Source organism: Homo sapiens, chromosome 18 (assembly GCF_000001405.40).
Source record: "Homo sapiens chromosome 18, GRCh38.p14 Primary Assembly".
Classification (NCBI taxonomy): domain Eukaryota; kingdom Metazoa; phylum Chordata; class Mammalia; order Primates; family Hominidae; genus Homo; species Homo sapiens.
Window position 1 is genome coordinate 13,894,294 of NC_000018.10, and position 22,281 is coordinate 13,916,574.

The following is a 22,281-nucleotide window of genomic DNA, read 5'->3' on the forward strand; positions in this document are numbered from 1 at the left end:
TTTGGGTATTACTAGAGAGTCTCATATCCAATTTATCCCAAACATATGAGAGCTTTTCGTGGAAGTTAATTTTTGCTTTGGTCTAAGAGAAGTAATCATTGAAATCCAGAAGCAGCATCAAAGAGGTAGACCTCCCTAACTATGGTTGTCTTCACGTACATGTAAATAAATGAAGATAACAACACTCAGTGCATAGATTTTACAGGCTGTGGTCTGGATTCTATGCGATAACGTATGTAAATTACCAGCCCAGATCCTGGAACACAGTGTGGGTTCAATAAAGGAAATTATTCTTCAATTAGTTTTCATTGCCTAAAGTATAAAATTCTATTAAAATAAAACTTGGCACTTACAGCTCTGTACAATCTGTTTCCATGCTGTTTTCTCACTGTATTTTCTAGCATTCTCCTGTGTAGAACACGCATTCCAGCTGGCCCAGGCCTCTTATTGTCTCTAAGATGCCTTGCTCATTTTTGCCTGTCACATTTTTTAGTACTGCTCTCCCTCTGAACTTTTCGAATCTTTCCTCTGTCTAAATCATATATTTGTTTAAGCCCAAACAAGATCAAATGTTTTGAAGGTCTCTGGCTCCATATCAACCCACGCGACCTGTCTGTGCCATCACAACACCACAGCGTGTTTTGTTCTTGGCTTGCGTGTGGCAGGCGACACTCTCTGCTCTTGGGAAAAGTCTGCTTTAAGTGTAGATGTCTTGTCTCCTGAGCAGCCGGGCAGTGCCCTGAAAGGTTGGCAAATTTGACACCCTCTTCTTTGTATCTTCCCGGGTAACTGAGGTGCACGGTAATAATTTATGGATGCCTTGGGATGTGACAATCAGCAACTTGAACAACCCAGGGTAATCTGAATGATTCACAGCCTGTGCTTCTAAACAAATATGTTTGGGGGAGATATAAAGCATACAAGAAACAGAGTTAGTGGTTTAATTTCATCATATATCAGAGCTTACATTTCAGTGGATAATACTTGAGTTAAAATTTTATGGGAAAATAAGTGTTTCTTCTAGAGATCAAAATGTTGCCTTCCTCTTCTTTCAAAGTAGTACCAGAAAAATGGACAGCCTTCACTCTCCTCCTAGACAGGGGGAAGTGTCAAGTTCTGCAGAGTCCCTGAAAACAGCTTTATTTACAAGAGCAGTACTTGCAGGGTCAGAAGTCTCCAGGTGGTGAGGGCAGGAAATGATGGGACCTTCGTGCAAGAGAGTCAGGAGAGGTTTTTATTCAGCAGGAAGGGGCAGGCAAGGACCCTCTGCCTGTAGAAAGCAGCTGAAATCAGACCTCTTAGTTTCTGAATGTCGAAAAAGAAAAAAAAGCTCAACTTTTGAGAATATTTACTCTCAGGAAGGGGAGTGGATACAGTCTACCTCCAGGAAGGGTGGGGAGGTGACGTCAGACCTGGTTTTGGCCCGGAGCTCCAGGGGTGGTTAGCACCCTGGGAAGGCTGCATGTGGGACTGAAAGTGCAGGGGACTAGGAGCTGAAATACCACTGGCACTAGCAAATTCTGTGAGAAGGTGGAGGAGCCATCCGCAACAGCAACACCATGAGGCAGCGAGAAGCAAGGACAGTAGTAGATCAGATACCAGACTGGTCTTGCTCAGATTTGGACTCCATAAGTCTCTAGGTTTTAGAAGATTCAGGGGGACAGAGGCAGCCCAGAGGAAGATACTGGCTCTTTTTTTCTCACATATTAGATTGGTATTTGAATATTTAATTCGAATATTAAGAGATATGACTATTTTACCACTACTTTGTGGAGCAACTCATATTGGTTACATAAGGTCTATGTCAAAATGTGAAATCTATGAGGCACACAGGATAAAAAGCACGATGTTGTTCTAATAAATAAGAGTTAGTATATATCATGATTAAAAAGTATAAGGCCAAGATTCTCAATGTAAAGGGATGAAAATTTTTACTAATGTCAGATTTCTGGGGTTCCATTTGGTGCAAATCAAAAAAGTAGCACAGGGAGTTAAGAAAGGTGATGTGACACCTAGAAGCAGCCATTCCCTCCCTGACCCTGGCACAAAGCTTTCTCAACCAGGAAAAATATAAGAGAATTGGCTGAAAAGTGTGAGAGGTAACTATTCTGTGCTTTGGGTAAAAGTTGGAGAAAGAATATAGAAGTACAATGATTAAGCAAATAGTTTTCTTTTAAGATTGGAACCTAATGTGAACAATGACAGTTCAGAGAAAGGAAAATTGAAGAAAAGAAGATAAAAAACAGTTAGAAATAAAATAAGCATCTATGATTTATTTACATTTAAATAAATATAAATTATTCAAAATCCAGGTAGCAATTTTTATTAAATATAGGTATCTAATATTACTTTAGACCTTGTAGCTATGAAATGTGTTATCACTAAATATCTGGAGCAAGGAACACACTCTCTGCCTTTAAGACCTAAAAACATGACTGATTTATGACTCAGTGGCCTTGAACAAATAATCAATGATGTTTACAAAGATGCATATACAATGATATTCACTGACCTGTTATATCAAGTAGTGAAAAACTAAAAACAACATAATAAACTGGTGATTAAAGATTAGTTAAATATACTCCGCAAGTCCATACAATAGAATGCTACATGACAATTAAAATCACAGCTCAACATACCTTGAAATAATAAAGGCAGAGACAGAACAGAATGCCAGAATAGAAGGCTCCACTGATTGTCCCCCTGCAAGGACACCAATTCAACAACTATCTACATAGGAAAAACACCTTCATAAGAGCCAAAAATCAGGCGAGCCCTCATGGTACCTGGTTTTAACTTCATATTGCTGAAAGAAGCACTGAAGTGGTAGAGAAAACAGTCTCAAATTGCAGACACCACCCCCCCAAACCCCCCAGTGGTAGCGTGGTGTGGAGAGCATCTCTGGATGCTGGGGGAGGGAGAGCACAGCAATTGTGAAACATTGAACTCAGTGGTGTCTTATTAGAATAGAAAAGATAACCAGACTACACTCGGCTGACACCCAGCCACGGAGCAAGTCTTTAGACCAGCCCTAGCCAGGGGGAATCGCTGACCCCAATGGTCGGAACTTGAGTTCCCGCAAACCTTGCCACAGAAAGCTACAGTGCTGTCAGTCTCTAAGTAAACTTGAAAAGGCAGTCTAGACCACAAGGACTGTAACTCTTAGGCGAGTCCTAACGCTGAACTAGGCCCAGAGACAGCGGACTTGGGGGGCGCACAACCTACTGAGATACCAGCTGGGGTGGCTAAGGGAGTGCTGGCATCACCTCTCCTCTAACTCTAAGCTGCACAGCTCATGGCTCCAAAAGACACCCCTTCCTTCTGCTTGAGGAGAGGAGAAGAGAAGGAAGAGTAGGGAGGACTTTGTCTTGCATCTTGGATATCAGCTCAACCACAGCAAGATAGGGCACTGGTCAGAGTTGTGAGGCTTCCATTCCAGGCCCTAAATCCTGGACAACATTTCTAGACACACCCTGGGCCAGAAGGGAACTTGCTGCCTTGAAGGGAAGGAACCAGTTCTGGCAGCATTCATCACCTGCTACCTGAAGAGCCTTTAGGCCCTGAGCAACAACCAGCAATACCCAGGTACTACGCTGAAGGCCTTGGGTGAGCCTGAGACTTGCTGGCTTCAGGTGAGACCCAGCACATTCCCAGCTGTGGTAGCTATGGGGTGAGATTCCTTCTGCTTGAGAAAAGCTGAGGGAAAAGTACAGGGGACTTTGTCTTGCACCTTAGGTACCAGCATAGCCACTGTGGAATAGAGTACCAAGCAGGCTCTTGGGGTCCCCGATTCTAGGGATTGACAAATGGACAGCATTTCTGGACCAGCCCTGGGCCAGAGGTGAGCCCACTGCCCTGAAGGGTGATTCCCAGAGCAGGCAGCATTCACCACAACCTGACTGAAGAGCGCTTGCAAACAAGGAAACATCGGTGGTAGGCTGGCAGTGTTCCCTGTGGCCTTTGGTGATGTTGGTTACAGGGTAAGGCTCCTCTGCCTTTCGGAAAGAGACGGGTGAGTGGGAAAGACTGTGTCTTGTGGTTTGAGTGTCAGCTCAGCCACAGACAATAGAACACTAGGTAGACTTCTAAGGTTTGTCACTCTAGTCCCTGACACCTGGATAGCACCTCTGAACCTAACCAGGACCTGGGGGAACTTCCTGCCCTGAAAGGAAAGACACAGGCCTGGCTGGCTTTTCCACCTGCGGATTGTAGAGCCCCAGGGCCTTGAGTGAACACAGGCGGTAGCCAGGGAGTGGTTACAGCAGGCCTGGGGTGAGACTGAGTGCTGTGCTGGCTTTGGGTCTGACCCAGCCCAGTCACAGTGGTAGTGACGAGGTGCTTGCGTCACTCCACCCCCAGATTTAGGTGGCTCAGAAGAGAGAGAGAGACTCTGTATGTTTGGGAGAAAGTAAGGGACGAGAACAAGAGTCTCTACTTGGTAATCCAGATAATTCTCCTGGATCTTGTCCAAGGCCATCAAGGTGGTACCTCTATGAGTCTGCAAGAACCACAGTGTTACTGGGCTTGGAGTGCCCCCTAAAGCAGGTAAGGCTTAGATCACAACTCCCAAGTTCTTTTAAATATCTGGAAAGCCTTCCCAAGGACTGGTACAAACAAGCCCAGCCAGTGAAGACTACAGTAAATACCTGACTCTTCAGTACTAGACACTGATGAACATCAACTAGCATTGCCATCATCCAGGAAAATATGACCTTGCCAAATAACTAAATAAGGCACCAATTCTGGAGAAAAAGAGATATATGACCTTTCAGACAGAGAATTCAAAACACCTGTATTGAAGAAACTCAAAGAAATTCAAGACAACAGAGAAGGAATTCAGAATCCTATCAGATAAATTTAATAAAGAGATTGAAATAAAAAGAATCACGCAGAAATTCTGGAGCTGAAAAAATGCAAGTGGCATACTGATGAAGGCGTCAGAGTCTTTTAATAGCAGAATTGATGAAGCAGAAGAAAGAATTAATGAGCATGAATACAGCCTATTTGAAAATACACAGTCAGAAGAGACAAAAGAAAAAAGAATAAAAAAAATGAAGCATGCCTATAGGATGTAGAAAATAGCCTCAAAAGAGCAAATCTAAGAGTTATTGGTCTTAAAGAGGAGATAGAGAAAGAGATAAGGGTAGAAAATTTATTTGAAGGGATAATAACAGAGAACTCCCCAAACCTAGAGAAAGATACCAATATGGAAGTAAAAGGTTATAGAACATCAAGCATATTTAACCCAAATAAGACTACCTCAAGGCATTTAATAATCATACTCTCATAGATCAAGGATAAAGAGAGGATCCTAAAAGCAGCAAGAGAAAAGAAACAACAGTGGAGTTTCAATACACCTGGCTCAAACTTTTCAGCAGAAATTTTACAGGCCAGGAGAGAGTGGCATGGTATATTTAAAGTGCTGAAGGGAAAAACTTTTACCTGAGAATAGTATATCCAGTGAATATACCCTTCAAACATGAAGAAGAAATAACAACCTTCCCAGACAAACAAAAGCTAAGAGAGTTCATCAACACTAGAACTGTTCTACAAGAAATGCTAAAGGGAGTACTTCAATCAGAAAGAAAAGGATGTTAATGAGCAATAAGTAATCACCTGAAGGTACAAAACTCACTAATAACATTAAGTACACAGAAAAGCACAGAATATCATAACACTGTAACTGTGCTGTATGAACTACTCTTATCCTAAGTACAGAGACTAAGCAATCAATAAAATATAATAACTACAACAAATTTTCAAGATATGGACAGTACAAAAATATGTATAGAAACAACAGAAAGTTAAAAAGTGGGGGATGAAGTTAAGGTGTCGAGTTTTTGTTAGTTTTTGTTTTGCTTGTTTGTTTATGCAAACAATGTTAAGTTGTTATCAGATTAAAATAATGGGTTATAAGATAGTATTTGCAAGCCTCTTGGTAACCTCAAACCAAAAAACATACAATGGATACACAAAAAACCAAAAGCAGGGAACTAAATCATATCAGCAGAAAATCATCACTTTTACTAAAAGAAGACAAGAAGGAAAAAAAGAAGGAAGAGAACACCAGAAAGCAAATAACAAAATGGCAGGAGTAAGTCCTTACTTATCAATAATAATATTGAATGTAAATGGACTAAACTCTCCAATTAGAAGACACAGAATGGCTGAATGGATGAAAAACATGACCCATTGATCTGCTGCCTACAAGAAACACACTTCACCTATAAAGACACACATGGACTGAAAATAAAGGGAGGGAAAAAGATATTCCATGCCAATGGAAACCAAAAAAGAGCGGGAATAACTATACTTACATCAGACAAAATAAATTTCAAGACAAAACTGTAAGAGACAAAGAAGGTCACTACATAATGACAAAGGTGTCAATTTAGCAAGAGGATATAACAATTTTAAATATATGCACCTGAGACTGTAGCACCTAGCTATATAAAGCAAATTTATTAGCACTAAAGAGAGAGACAGGCCCCAATACAATAATAGCTGGAGACTTCAACACACCACTTTCAGCACTGGACAGATCTTCAAGGCAGAAAATCAACAAAGAAACATCAGATTTAACCTGCAGTATATACCAAATGAACCTAATAGATATTTACAAAACATTTCATCCAATAGCTACAGAATATACATTCGTTTTCTCAGCACATGGATCATTCTCAAGGACAGACCATATGTTAGGTCACAAAACAAGTCTTAAAACATTCAAAAAAATTGAAATAATGTCAAGTATCTTCTCTGACCACAATGGAATAAAACTAGAAGTTAATAACAGGAGGAATTATGGAAACTATACAAATACATTGAAATTAAACAATATGCTCCTGAATGACCAGTGAATGAAGAAATTAAATAAATTGAAAAATTTTATTGAAACAAATGATAATGCAAATACAACATACCCAAACCTATGGGGTACAGCAAAAGCACTACTAAGAGGGAAATTTATAGCTATAAGTGCCTACATCAAAAAAGAGGGAATGTTCCAAATAAACAATTTAATGATGCATCTCAAAAAAACTAGAAAAGCAAGAGCAAACCAAACCAAAAAGTAGTAAGAGAAAAGAAATAATAAAGATTAGAGCAGAAATAAATGAAATTGAAATGAAGAAAACAATACAAAGGATCAAAGAAAGAAATAGTTGATTTTTTGAAAAGTTAAACAAAACTGACAAATCTTTAGCCAGACTAAGAAAAAAAGAGAGAAGATATAAATAAATAAAATAGGAAATGAAAAAAGAGACGTTACAACTGATGCACAAAAAATCATTAGTGGCTACTATGAGTAACTATATGCCTGTAAATTGGAACATCTAGAAGAAATTGACAAATTCCCAGATACATATAACCTAACAAGATTGAACCAGGAAGAAATCCAAAACCTGAACAGACCAATAACAAATAGCAAGATTGAAGCCATAATAAAAAGTCTCCCAGTAAAGAAAAGCCTGTGACCTAATGGCTTCACTGCTGAATTCTACTGAACATTTAAAGAAGAACTAGTACCAATCCTACTCAAACTGTTTTGAAAAATAGAGGAGGAAGGAACACTTCCAAACTCATTCTACAATACCAGTATTACCCTGACACCAAAAACAGACAAAGACACATCAAAAAAAGAAAACTATAGGCCAATATCTCTGACGAAGAAATCCATCCCCCCCACCGACTGCCCCACTGCCAAATACTGGCAAACCAAATTCAACAATATATTGGAAAGATCATTCATCATGACCAAGTGGGATTTTTTCCCTAGGATGCAAGGATGGCTTAACATATGCAACCAATGCAAAATACAATGTGATATATCATATCAAGGAATGAAGGACAAAAACCATATGATAATTTCAATGATGCTGAAAAAGCGTTTGGTAAAATCCAACATCTCTTTATAATAAAACCATCAAAAAAACTGGGTAGAGAAGGAACATACCTCAACATAATAAAAGCTATACACAACATACCCACAGCCATGCAATCCCTATCAAAATATTAAGGATGATCTTCACAAAAATAGAAAGAAAATCCTAAAATTTATATGGAACCACAAGAGACTCAGAATAGTCAAAGCTACCCTAAGCAAAAATAACAGAACTGCAGGAATCACATTACCTGACTTCACATTATACTAGAGAGCTGTAGTAACCAAAACAGGCATGGTACTGGTATAAAAACAGACACATAGACCAATGAAACAGAATACAGAACCCAGAAACAGATCCGGACACCTATGGTGAACTCATTTTTGACAAAGGTGCCAAGAACATGCAATGGGGGATAGACAATCTCTTTAATAAACGGTGCTCGTAAAACTGGATATTCATATGCAGAAGAACAAAACTAGACCCCATCTCATGCCATACACAAAAATCAAATAAAAATGGATTAAAGACTTAAATATAAGACCTCAAACTATGAAACTAATACAATAAAACATTGGGGGAAATCTCCAGGACATTGGTCTGGGCAAAAATTTCTTGAGTAATACCCGACAAGCACAGGTACCCAAACAAAAATGGACAAATGGGACCACATCAAGTTAAAAATCTTCTGCACAGCAAAGGAAACAACCCACAAAGTGAAGAGACAGCCCATAGAATGAGAGAAAATATTTGCAAACTACCTATCTGACAAGGGATTAATAACCAGAATATATAAGGAGCTCAAACAACTCTACAGGATAAAGTCTAATAATCTGATTTTTAAAATGGGCAGAAGATTTGAATAGATGTATCTCTAAAGAGGACATACACATGGCAAACAGGCATATGAAAAGGTGCTCAACATCATTGATCATTAGAGTAATGCAATGCAAAACTACAATGAGATATCATCTTACCCCAGTTAAAATGGTTTATATCCAAAAGACAGGCAATAACAAATGCTGGTAAGGATGTGGAGAAAAGGGAACCCTCATACACTGTTGGTGAGAATGAAAATCAGTATGACCATTATGGAGAACAGTTTGGAGATTCCTTGAAAAATTAAAAATAGAGTTACCATATGATCCAGAAATCCTACTGTTGGATATATACCCAAAGGGAAGGAAATCAGCATATTGAAGAGGTATCTCCACTCCTATGTTGTTGCAGCACTGTTTACAATAGCTAAGATTTGGAAGCAACCTAAGTGTTCATCAACAGATGAATGGATAAAGAAAATATGGTACATATACAAAATGGAGTACTTTACAGCCATAAAAATAATGAGATCCTGTCATTTGCAACAACATGGATGGAAGCGAAATAAGCCAGGAACAGAAAGACAAACATCACATGTTCTCACTTATTTATGGGATCTAAAAATCAAAACAATTGAACTCATGGGCATAGAGAGTAGAAAGATGGTTGCCAGAGGCTGGAAAGTTAGTGTATGTGTGGGGTGGTTCTGGAGGGAGGTGGGGATGGTTAATGGTACACAAATAGTTAGAAATAATTAATAATATCTACTATTTGATAGTACAACAGGGTGACTATAGTGAATAATAACTTAATTGTACATTTTTTAAAATAAAAAAATGCAGCCTTAAAGGAAAAATTTAAAAAACAACAAAAAACAGGAGGATGAAAATGCAGTTTTAATATCTCTATTAGAGGTATGTTTAAAGCTGTGCTGTTTCTTAGATCTCTATATGATAACATCCTTAAAAGAGAGTTTAGGTTTTTAAGAATTGTAGATTTTTTTTTTCATTTCCACAGATGTCTGCTTGTATTTTGAGTCACCCTGTTTCTTCTTCCAACGAAATAAACCCACTCAAAATGTTTTAAAAATCATAATAGGCCAGGCACGGTGGCTCATGCCTGTAATCCCAGCAGTCTGGGAGGAAGAGATGGGCAGATCACAAGGTCAGGAGATCAAGACCATCCTGGCTAACATGGTGAAATCCCTTCTCTACTAAAAATACAAAAAAAAAAAACTTAGGCAGGCGAGGTGGTGGGCACCTCTAGTCCCAGCTACTCCGGAGGCTGAGGCAGGAGAATGGCGTGAACCCGGGAGGCAGAGTTTGCAGTGAGCTGAGATAGCACCACTGCACTCCAGCCTGGGTGACAGAGCAAGACCCCGTCTCAAAAAAAAAAAAAAAAAAAGTCATAATAAAGGCCATATGTGGCAAATTCACAGCTAGCATCATACTGAATGGGGAGAAATGGAAAGCCTTTCCTCTAAGATCTAGAACAAGACAACGATGCCCACTTTTACCACTTTCGTTCAATATAATCCTGGAAGTCCTGGCAAGAGCAATTAGACAGGAGAAAAAAAAGGAAAAAAGCTGGAAGTATCATGCTACCTGATTTCAAACTATACTACAAGGCTACAGTAACCAAAACAGGTACAGTAACCAAAACAGTAACCAAAACGGTACCATGGTACTGGTACCAAAACAGACTTATAGACCAATGGAGCAGAACAGAGACCTCAGAAATAACACCACACATCTACAACCATCTGATCTTTGACAAACCCGACAAAAACAAGCAAGGGGAAAGGATCTCCTATCCATTAAATGGTGCTGGGAGAAAAGTGGCTAGCCATATGCAAAAAAACTGAAACCGGGCCCCTTCCTTATACCTTATACAAGACGAATTAAATACTTAAATGTAAAACCCAAAACCTTAAAAACACTAGAAGAAAACCTAGGCAATACCATTCAGGACACAGGCATGGGCAATGACTTCATGACAAAAATGCCAAAAGCAATTGCAACAAAAGCCACAGTTGACAAATGGGATCTAATTACACTAAAGAGCTTCTGCACAGCAAAAGAAACTATCATCAGTGTGAACAGGCAACCTACAGAATAGGATAAATTTTTTGCAATCTATCTATCTGACAAAGATCTAATATCCAGAATTTACAAGGAACTTAAACACATTTACAAGAAAAAAACAACCCCACCAAAAGTGGGCAAAGTATATGAACAGACACTTCTCAAAAGAAGACATTTATGCGGCCAACAAACAAATGAAAAAAAGCTACCATCCTGGCCAACATGGTGAAACCCCGTCTCTACTAAAAATACAAAAATTAGCTGGGCTTCGTGGCGTGTGCCTGTAGTTCCAGCTACTCAGGTGGCTGAGGCAGAAGAATCGCTTGAATCCGGGAGGCAGAGGTTGCACTGAGCCGTGATCGTGCCACTACACTCCAGCTTGGCAACAGAGCGAGACTCCCTCTAAAAAAAAAAAAAGCTCAAGATCACTGATCATCAGAGAAATGCAAATCAAAACCACAACGAGATACCATCTCATGCCAGTCAGAATGGCGATTATTAAAAAGTCAGGAAACAATAGATGCTGGCAAGGCTGTGGAGAAATAGGAACACTTTTACACTGTTGGTGGGAGTGTAAATTAGTTCAACCATTGTGAAAGACAGTATGGTGATTCCTCAAGGATCTAGAACTGGAAATACCATTTGACCCAGCAATCCCATTACTGGGTATATACCCAAAGAAATATAAATTATTCTGGCCAGGTGCGATGGTTCACGCCTGTAATCCCAGCACTTTGGAAGGCCGAGGTGGGTGGATCACGATGCCAAGAGATCGAGACCATCCTGGCCAACATGGTGAAACCCCGTCTCTACTAAAAATACAAAAATTAGCTGGGCATGATGACGCACACCTGTAGTCCCAGCTACTCAGAGAGCTGAGGCAGGAGAATTGCTTGAATCCTTGTCTTGTTCCAGATCTTAGAGGCGGAGGTTGCAGTGAGCTGAGATTGTGCCATTGCACTCCACCCTGGTGACAGAGTAAGACCCCATCTCAAAAAAGAAAAAAGAAAAAAATATATAAATCATTCTACTATAAAGACACATGCACACGTATGTTTATTGCAGCACTATTTACAATAGCAAAGACATGGTACCAACCCAAATGTCCATCAATGATAGACTGGATAAAGAAAATATGGTACACATACATCATGGAATACTATGCAGCCATAAAAAGGAATCAGATCGTGTCCTTTGCAGGGACATGGATAAAGCTGGAAGCCATCATCCTCAGCAAATTAACACAGGAACAGAAAACCAAACACTGCATGTTCTCACTCATAAGTGGGAGTTGAACAATGAGAACACATGGGCACAGAGAGGTGAACAACACACACCAGGGCCTGTTGGGGGGTGGGAGGTGAGGGGAGGGAACTTAGAGGACGGGTCAATAGGTGCAGCAAGCCACCATGGTACATGTATACCTATGTAACAAACCTGCACGTTCTGCACATGTATCCCATTTTTGTTTCTTAGAAGAAATAAAGAAAAAAAAAGAAAAGAAGAAGTCAAATTAGCCTTGTTTGCAGATGACATGATGTTATACTTAGAAAAACTTAGACTCCACCAGAAAACTGTGAGAGCTGACAAACAAATTCAGTAAAGTTGCAGAATACAAAATCAACATACAAAAATTAGTAACACTTATATACAACAACAGTGAACAATCTAAAAAAGAAATGAAAAAGTAATCCCATTTACAATAGCCTCAAATAAAATTAAATACTTTGAAATCAACCAAAGAAGTGAAAGATCTCTATGAAAACTATAAAACACTGATGAAAGAAGTTGAAGAGGACACCATAAAACAGAACAATATTCTATGCTCATGGGTTGGAATAATTAATATTGTTAAAATTTCCATACTACCCAAAGCAATTTACAGATTCAATGCAATTCCAATCAAAATACCAATGACATTCTTTGTAAAGATAGAAAAAAATCTAAAATTTATGTGGAATTGCAAAAGACCCTGAATAGCTAAAGCAGTCTGGAGCAAAAAGAGCAAAGTTGGAGGAATCACAGTACCTGACTTCCAAATTTACTACAAACACGTAGTAACAACATCAGCACGGCATCAGCATAAAAACAGTTACACAGATAAATGGAAGAGAATAAATAACCCAGCTATAAATCCATGCATTTGCAGTCGACTCACCTTCGACAAAGGTGCCAAGAACATACAATGGGGAAAGGACAGTTTTTTCAGTAAATGGTGCTGGGAAAACTGGATATCCATATGCAGAGGAATGAAACTAGGCCTCTATCTCTCACCAGACACAAAAATCAAATCAAGATGGATTAAAGACTTAAATCTAAGACCCGAAACTATGAAACTACTTGAAGAAAACATTGTGGAAATGCTTCAAGACACTGGTCTCTGCAAAGATTTTTGGAGTAAGATCTCAAAAGCATAAGCAACAAAAGCAAAATCAGGCAGGTGGAACCATACCAAGATAGAAAGCTTCTGCACAGCAAGGAAAACAATCAACAAAGTGAAGAGACAACTCACAGAATGGGAGAAAATATTTGCAAACTCTCCATCCAGCAAGAGATTAATAACCAGATTACATAAGGAGCTCAAACAACTTAGCAGCAAAAGAAAACCAACAAATAATCCAATTTAAAAATGGGCAAAATATCTGCACAGACTTTGCTCAAAATAAGACATACAAATGGCCAAACAGGTATATGAAAAATTTCAAAGCATCACTAATCATCAGAGAAATGAAAATCAAAGCTACAATGAGATATAATCTCACCCCAGTTAAAATGGCTTATATCCAAAAACGGGCGATATCGGATGCTGGTGAGGATGTGGAGAAAGAGGAACCCCCGTACACTGTTGGTGGGAAGGTCAACTACTATAGCCACTGTGGAGAACAGTTTGGAGGTGACTCAAAACACTAAAAATAGAGCTGCCATATGATCCAGCAATCCCACTACTGGGTATATATTGAAAAGAAAAGAGATCAGCACATCAAAGAGATATCTGTACTACCATGTTTATTGCAGCATTATTCACGAAAGCCAAAATATGGACTCGACCTAAGTGTCCATCAGTGAATGAATGAATAAAATGTGGTATATAAACATAATGAAATATTATTCAACCATAAAGAATGAAATCTTGTCATTTGCAGAAACATGAGTGGAACTGGAGGCCATTATGTTAAGTGAAATAAAGCAAGCACAGAAAGACAAATGTCCCTTGTTCTCACTCACATGTGGGAGCTAAAAAAGTAAATCTCATGAAGACAGATAGTGGTGGTTACAAGAGCCCAGGAAGGGTAGAGGGGAGAGGGAGATGAAGAGAAATTGACTAATGGGTACAAATACATGGTTTGATAGAAGAAATAAGAGCTAGTGTTTAATAAATCAGTAGGGTGACTATAGTTTACAATAATCTATTGTACATTCCAAAATGGCTAGAAGAGAAGAATTTCAATGGTTCTAGCATAAAGAAGAGACTTTAGGGTGATAGATATCCTAAGTACACTGTTTTGGTCTTTACAAATTATATGAATGTATCAAATTATCACATGTACCCTGAAACTACATACAGCTATTAAAACTACATACATATACCAGTTTATAAAATTGCAGTTCAACGGTGCAGGAGCTTCTTGTGTGTGTGTGTGTGTGTGTGTGTGTGTGTGTGTGTATTTCAAGCAAAGGCATAGAAAAATCCATGACATCAAATTTTAATGGTGGTTATCACTGGGTGGTAGAGCTATGAGCTATTTTTTAAATAAACGTTTTATTTTAGAACAGTTTTAAATTTATGGAAAAGTTGCAAAGATAGTAGAGTCCCCACAAACCTCACACCCAGTTTAGCATCTTACATCATGTTAACATCTTACCTGAGTATGGTGCATTTATCGCAACTAGTGGACCAATATTGACACACTGTTATTAACTAAAGTCCATGCTTTATTCAAATGTCCTTAATTTTAACCTAATGTCCTTTTGTGTCTCTGGGTCTCATCCAGGACATGGTATTATTACCTTTAGCCATCATGTCTCCTTAGGCTTCTCTTGGTTGTGACATTTTCTCAGACTTCCCTTGCTTTTGATGACCTTGAAATTTTTAAGGAGTACTGCTCAAACATTTTGTAGAATTGCCACAATTGTGTGACATTTTTCTCATGATTAGACTGGGGTTATGGACCTTGCGGGAGGAAGACCACAAGATGTAAACTATCATTCTCATTACATCACATCAAGGGACACGCTATCAAGGTGACTCATGACTGGTGCTAACCATGGTCACCTGGCTGAGTTCATGCTTGCCGGGTTTCCCCACTGCAGTTAGTGTTTCCTGCACACTGTTTCCATAATGGATTCTTTGGAAGGAAGTCAGAATGCATAGCCCTCACATACAGAGCAGAGAGTTCTGCCCCACCTCCTTGAGGGTGGAGTGTCTACATAATCCATTTGGAGTTCTTCTGCATGGGAGATTAGCCTATCCTTCCCTATTTATTTATTTATTCAATCCTATGTTTCTATCAGTATGAATGCATGGACAACTATTTTATACTTTAGATTATAATCCAATGCTATTTGATTTGTTTTATTGCTTAAATTGTTCCAACTTTGGCCACTGGGAGCTCTCTCAGTTGGCACCTGTGTCCTGTGCCAGACCTGCATCGCTGTGGCTTTCTGGAACACTTATTTACTCTCTGGCACTGCAAGATGTTCCAGGCTCAACTTGTTATTTCCTGACATAGTCATAGAATAAGCCACTTCCCCCAGGGATCCCTGATTTCTTCCAGTGCAGAATGGTATTAGAAACCAAGATCAGAGTGCTCAATGTACTTGTTGCTACTGGGGTGCCATTTAAATTTTAATAAAGTCTATTATTTATTTTTTCTTTCATGGATGATGCTTTTCATGTTATATCTAAAAACACCAAATCCAGTGTCATGGAGATTTTCTTCTATGTTTTCTTTTAGAAGTTGTAAGTTTTGTAATTTTCATTTAGGTCTATGATCATTTGGCGTTAAGTTTTTTCTGTAAGGAATAAGATCTATGTTTAAAATAATTTTTTCCTCATATGAACGTCCAATTGTTCCAGCACTGTTTGTTGAAAAGTCTACCCTTTTCCCATTGAATTGCTTTTGTGCCTTTGTTGAAATCACCTGGCTATATTTGTGTGGGCCTGTATTTGTGTGGTCCTTACTGTTTCATTGATCTATTTGTCTGTTCTTTTGCTAAGAACACACTGTCTTGATTACTGGCTTTAGAGTAAGTCTGAGAGTTACTCAGACTTACTGTGAAGTAAGGAGTGACAGTCCTCTGACTTTGTTGTTCTTTTTCACTGTTTTGTTGGCTCTTCAAGCTCATCTGCTTTTCCACAGAAATTCTGGAATAAGTTTATTGACATCTTCAAAATAGCTTTCTGGACTTTTGACAGGGATTGTGTTGACTCTGTTGATCAAGTGGAGAAGATTAAAAAAGTGTGTTTCTTGCTGTTTTGCAAGTTTTCTGATTTTGGTATTTAAAACATATACTACAAAGTGCCTGAGGGGGAGCTTGTACAGCTTCCTGCAGCCTGCCTGGAGGAGAGACAGCTGCTGCCAGAAGGTTCCCTGACCAGGGGCTGCTGGTCCCTGGTCTAGTCCTGGCTGGGCTGAGGCTGCTCCAGTTACACTCAGCACTAGGGCTCCCTTCAGGGCACCAGGCATCTGGAGGATAGAGAGGCAGCTTGGAATCTCTCAATCCATCTACTTCTCATCACAACAGTGTTTGCCCCAAATCATGCCAACCACAGTGGGGGAGCTGGCAGATGCCCCTGTGTCCCAGTGTCTCTCCTACAAAACCAACACCAGTCACCACCCCATCATGGGTGAAAGCATCATCCCCAGAAAATGCTTCCTTTTTGAATTCTTATCTTTTACACCTGAGACCAGGTTGACATTGGCTCACTTAATCCCATGATTTATGATTTATAAAAAGCAGTCAGCGTGGCTCAGCAGGGAACACAGGCAGGTGCAGTTGCCTTAGGTGAGAGTGCGAAGCAGCAAAACCCCAGAGCTGCGGTGATTGCTAGAGCAAGGAGGCCAGTAACAGTAGCAGGGACTAGGGGCCAAAGGACACAGGGACAGGAGAGGAGCTGAGGGCCGGGCAGCCGAGAGCAGGGGCCGGAGTGTCAGGGAGCAACCCAGGCAGCCTGCAGCCTCTCCTGGAGCTCCCTTTTTATTAGATAAAGAAACTCCATCAAGTCCTTGTTTTACCTTAAAAACTAGTACTAAATTCTTCCCTGCACAGTCCCATTTTCATTCTCATCTCTGAAATGGCTCAAAATTTCCTCTTTTGAAAAAGCATAAACTAGTTTATAACTGGTTTAGTTAGCCAAACAAATGCCATGAAATAAAAGGATGTCAGTAAAGATCTGCTTTTTCTCCCAGATGAAGGCTTTAAAATTTGCTGGGTATCTTTGGACGAGTGCCTGGAAGACTTCTCTGCCTTACCTAGCTCCTATTCGCCCCACCTTTAAAAAGTGGCCGAGTCCAGCCCAATCAGACCCCAGGGCCACCATGAGTGCAGCGGGTAGCTTTGGCTTCTGGACCTTGCTCTGGAGTCACTGGCTTTGCGCCATCTATGACAGGGTCTCCATCCTAGGGTCTGGGGGATGTTAACTGGGAAAAAGGAGATTGGGGCATATGAGGAGGGCAGGAGGAAGAAAGATTTAAGATCTTTTGGGGGCTTTAATCCAAGTAATCACTTAAAGAATTGGCAGTTTTTAGCACCTCTAGGATCCAATTTTAGGTTATATGTCATTGGAAATCCAAAAGATACAGGAAACACCGTACTGCCTATGAACATCTAGCTGAGGAGGTAAGACATGCACAGCTGAGAAAGAGGACAGGTGAGCCTTTGGTCACTTGCAAATTGGGGTCAGAACTGCTCCATGGTGTGGATGGCATGGAAAAGAATTGGCTTCACTTACGAGTGCTTTAGGTAATTCATTCTGTACTGTGTTGGGCCCACAATGCATGTTCAGCAATTTTACTTAATACTCAACCAGGTAAAACAGCAGATTCCAGGATACCTCAGCACATCCTTACAATTCTGCACTTTAAGGGCAATTTGATTTTGCCATGGTTTCTCTTGCAATGTTAAAGGTTGGAGACAGGGCAGAGTGAAAGGTATTCTCTCTTAATGCTCCAGTTACACATAAAGGGTAGGTGTTCCTATTTCCTGCTCCCCTGCCTATATTATAGATAAGAAAACGGAGGCTCAGGGAGGTTGGGTTACTTGCTTAAGGTCACCCAGCTGCGAATCTGCCTCATTCCAAGGTCTGTGCTCGCTTGGTTATTCCAAAGAGCCTGAGAGGCTGAGTGTTTGGAAGCAGGACAAGCCTAGCTCTGAAACAGGTATGGGTAGGAGGACCGGGTCAGGTTGGGCCAAGAGCTGTGGGAGGAGCTGGGAACTGAGGGGCTCAGGACTCTGAGGCTGTTTTGGTGCTAAATAAAACAAAATAACAACATAGCACCATAATAAAACTTGTAGATTATTATTAATCAATTAATCAATACTCTGTTGAAATAGGAAAAATTCAAGGACAGATGAATTTCTACGTTGTTTTCTGCTCCCGGACCATCCCAACTGCTTTGCTAGGGCCCAGTCACTGTCTCCAGCTGAAGTCAGTTTTCCTTGAACTTACTGATGTTGATCTTACAGAGTTATAAGTTACGCTTATCACTGTGAAGACTGGCTGCAGCCAGCAGAGCTCGCTATGGTAGGCAATGGCTCATCTGAATCCAGCGCACATCTTGTTTTGAATTCCGCATAGGCTCAATTATGAGAGGCCTTCAAGGGAGCCTTATTTTGGGGGTGGCTTTATTCTTTTTCCCCATGCCGGGCACAGGCAGAAGCATCTCTCGGTGTGATCATCTTGCAGGCCGCTGGGCAGGTTTACAGCTTTTCCGACACTTCACAGAGAACTGCTGCTTACAGTATAATTTCTTTTTTAATATACACAAGACTGGAAATTAGGCATGAATGACAATGTGATCACATCTTAGGACGAGCGAAGGAAAGTCCCGAGAATGGAAGCTTTTGCAGGAGCTCACAGCTAGGGAGGCATGAAGCCCAGGCTGGAGTGTTCTGGTTGGAAATCAGTGTGATGCTCAGCTCCCTGCACAGCCTCACCTGGACCACCACCTTCCACCCGCTCACATCTCCCGTCCTCTGAGCTTCACTGCTCATGGCAGGCTTCCTCCACGGTGCCTTCCTGCCAGTGTGACCCACTCGGACCTTTCCCTGCCACGGCTGTGCTGCTCACACAAACGCTTGCTGCCCCCAGGTTTTGATGCTGGGACACCTACTAGGTTGATTAGTCTCTGTAGTTTGCACATGTTGTTCTCCCACCAAGTCAGGCTCTGTGCGTTACCCATGCTGCTAGCACAGCGCTTGGCACACGCATATTTTGAGTTGAGAACTTACTTTAAAACCATCTTCCAAATTTTGTACCCTGGCGGCTCATAGTCAGAGAACAGAGAAGTTAAGACTTTAGGACTCCACCACACTTTAAGGCCCACTGGGTGGGTCTGCACCAGCGCTTGCCTGTCTGTTCACACGTTCTCTCTCCCTGGGCCTGGACACGTCCTTCCTCACTTCTCACACTCAGCACTGTGTCCTTGCCCAAGTACAGACTCTCTTCCACTGCCCCCGCATCCCAAGGGAGCCCAGGATTGCTGCCCGTCTATGCACCTGTAGCTGTTTGTTCTTATTTCTACAACGGCATTATTCACATGAAAACCCTGCAGATGGATCTGAGTTCCTTAGGATAAGACCTGCCCTGACCATGTCTGAGGCTGAGCCCTGCAGACAACCTGGCCCACAGCAATTATATTTGCCTAATGAAGGCAAGGAATGTGGCTTACACAGACAAGAAAGCTCTCATTAAAATGTATTAGACACTAAGGATTCCATAGGAAACATACCTGGGATCATTAACAAGGTAAAGAATAGGATTTTTTTTTTTTTTTAAGATGTCTTAAGTTGCTCTGAGGCAGTGAGAGGGCAATTTGCTGCTGAGCAAAAACCTCCTCTGCCAGAGATTCAGGATCCACTGAGAAGTCAGGATGGCTTTGGAGCTTATCTACCCCATTACCCTGGTTCATGCCCTCCTCCACCCCTGCCGCGGCCTAAGCGGTGTCCCAAAGGCAGGGTGAGGGCTCCCGTCTCCCTGCTCCCACAGCTCTTTGTGGGTGTGTGTCCTGTCTGGGAGCTAGTGTGAAGTGTTGTCTCAGTGTGCGCTGTCCTCAGCGCCGGGGCTCCAGGAGGCTCCACTCTGACTTAGGCTTGCAACAAGGCCCAGCACATAAGGGTTCGGTACAGCTTGATCTAGGCATGAATGTGTGAGCAGAGCCTGTGACCACCGCTTCACTCCCACTCCGGGGATGGGGTGGGGAGGGCATGTGAGGAGCACTCCTCCTTCTGATCTGCTCAAGGCTGTACTCTCTGGACCCCTTTGTACCCCTTTCCCATTCCTATCCCTTTTGGACTTTTTGCATGCATGTATGTATGTATGTTTACAAGTGTGCACGTGTATGTGTGTATATGTGTGTGTATGAGTGTGTGTGTGTAAGTGAAGAATGGGGACAGTTATCTGAAGGCAGCTTAGACAAACTGAAATATGAAGAAGAGCTGTTTAATCGAATGCCTGGGCCTCTTTTCTAGGTAACATGTGCCCCCCGACAGAGCCAGCCAAAGGAAGGTGTGAGCCCCTCATGATGGCAGTGACTGCATGCTTTCTGGGTGCAAACACTTTGCAGGAGTATGTGATAATCAGTATGCTTTTAGTTATTGTTTATCCTGCACCCCGTGTTGCTGCCTAGGAAGGTGGAGGCTGACTGAGCTAGTGGTTGAGAAAGGCACAGAAAGTGTGCGTGCATCTCCCAGAACTGTAACGTCACACGTGTGGATGGTGGAGTTGCTTAGACACCAATGCCTGAGGTTCAGGAAGCTGCCGCATGCCCACGTCTTTGTGGCGCTAAAACCCCCGCACTCTTACACCTAGACAAGCTGATCAGGTGAAGGGGCTAACTCCAGAAGTGATAATAGAAGCATGATTTGTTTCACCCCTAATTCTATTAGGAAAAAACTGGCTGTAGTCCTTGAATAGAGCTCAATGACAATTTGAAGAGTACTAGAGAAGCCAATAAATTCATTAATAGGGAAGATTGTTTTAGCTAGACAAAAAGGTAATAGCCTTCATTGTAGTAGTTTAATTAGAAAAATAATAAACTCCCTTAGGAAGGATGAAAGCCCATAATTAAAAAGATGAGCTATTTGGAGGAATTCTGAATAGTACCTCTTCTCAGATTTGTTCCTAGCTGCTCTATTCATGGTCCAAAAGCACTTAGCAAGCTGAGGAATTAGTGGAAAATGTACTTACCTTCAGCTCTGAAGCAGGAACTTTCTGGGCAAAATGAATGAGAAGGAATGAGCTCGGAGAGAAAAGCAAGCAAGTGGACCTTGGGCCGGGAAGGGCCGGAACACATGCATCACCGGAGATACAGCTAGATTGTTATCATTACCTTGAATAAATGTCATCCCACATGAACTGTGCATTTCTGGTAATGTGAAGTTAGAGAAATGGAAAGACACAGGCAGATGAAGACATAATTTCCATGAGCTCAGCTAGTCAAGGTTACTTCCAATGTTTATGACAATGTTTCTAGCAGATTATGGAATTGTCATCTTGCTCTTTTTAAATGCCACTTTAGAGTTGCATTTATTTCCAAAAAGAACTAAGGAATTAAATAAATCAGGTTTTTGAGAAAATGGTTTTGGAAGAATTTGTTTTAAAACTTCTAGCAAACTTCTTGATATATCTTGCAAATATTTGGCTCATTAGTTTCATTAAGAAGAAGGGAATAGCCCCATTATCCCTATTTCACAAGACTAAACAATGAGAGTGAGGGAACTGTGTGCTCAAGTGCACATATGACGCATGGGTCCAGACAAGAAAAAAACCCTGTGTTCTGCCAATGCTTCTCCGTCCAAAAACTTCACAGAAACCGCCATAGATAAGAGCCATCATTCAAAGCAAAATTCTTCCATTTTAGGGTGCAATGCTGTGTGTTTTCTGCCTGCCGGGGCCTGCAGGGAAGGGCTACTGTTGGTGTCAGTCACAGCAACAGGAATGTTGAAGTGTGGAATTGGGCCAAGTTTCCAGATGGTCCTGGGTTTTTGGGGCTGGGGCCAAACCAGTGGCTGTTTCTGAAATGTGAGCTTCCGCCCCAAGCTAAAAAGTGTTCACACGTGGGTGGTCTGGAAAAGACCAAAGAGAGAGACCTGAGTTGAATTTGCCAGGCGGGTAAACACAATTTTATAAAGTGGCTTTTCCTGGCCTGTCACTGAGGCAAAGCGTGTTGTCCCCAGGAACTCATGGACCCAGGATCATCCCAGACTTCGACTGTTTCTGAGTAGGTGTGTGCCTCCGCAACATGCCCTGCAGCTGAAACCCGGCGTTCCACAGG

General features: G+C 41.2%; 1 protein-coding gene across 4 annotated transcripts in view; it reads right to left on the reverse strand.

Moving 5' to 3' along the window:
* Positions 1-21,414, reverse strand: part of MC2R (melanocortin 2 receptor) — a 33,664-nt gene extending 12,250 nt beyond the window's left edge. For 2 of the 4 annotated variants that reach the window (XM_017025781.2, XM_047437537.1), the window contains exons 1-2: positions 21,195-21,243; positions 354-885 (exon numbers count right to left, since the gene is read on the reverse strand). The gene's annotated coding sequence lies outside the window, so the exon portion shown is untranslated. Of the gene's footprint in view, positions 1-353; positions 886-21,194; positions 21,244-21,336 lie in introns of those variants that run through there. The other 2 variants (NM_001291911.1, NM_000529.2) reach the window with 2 other exon arrangements.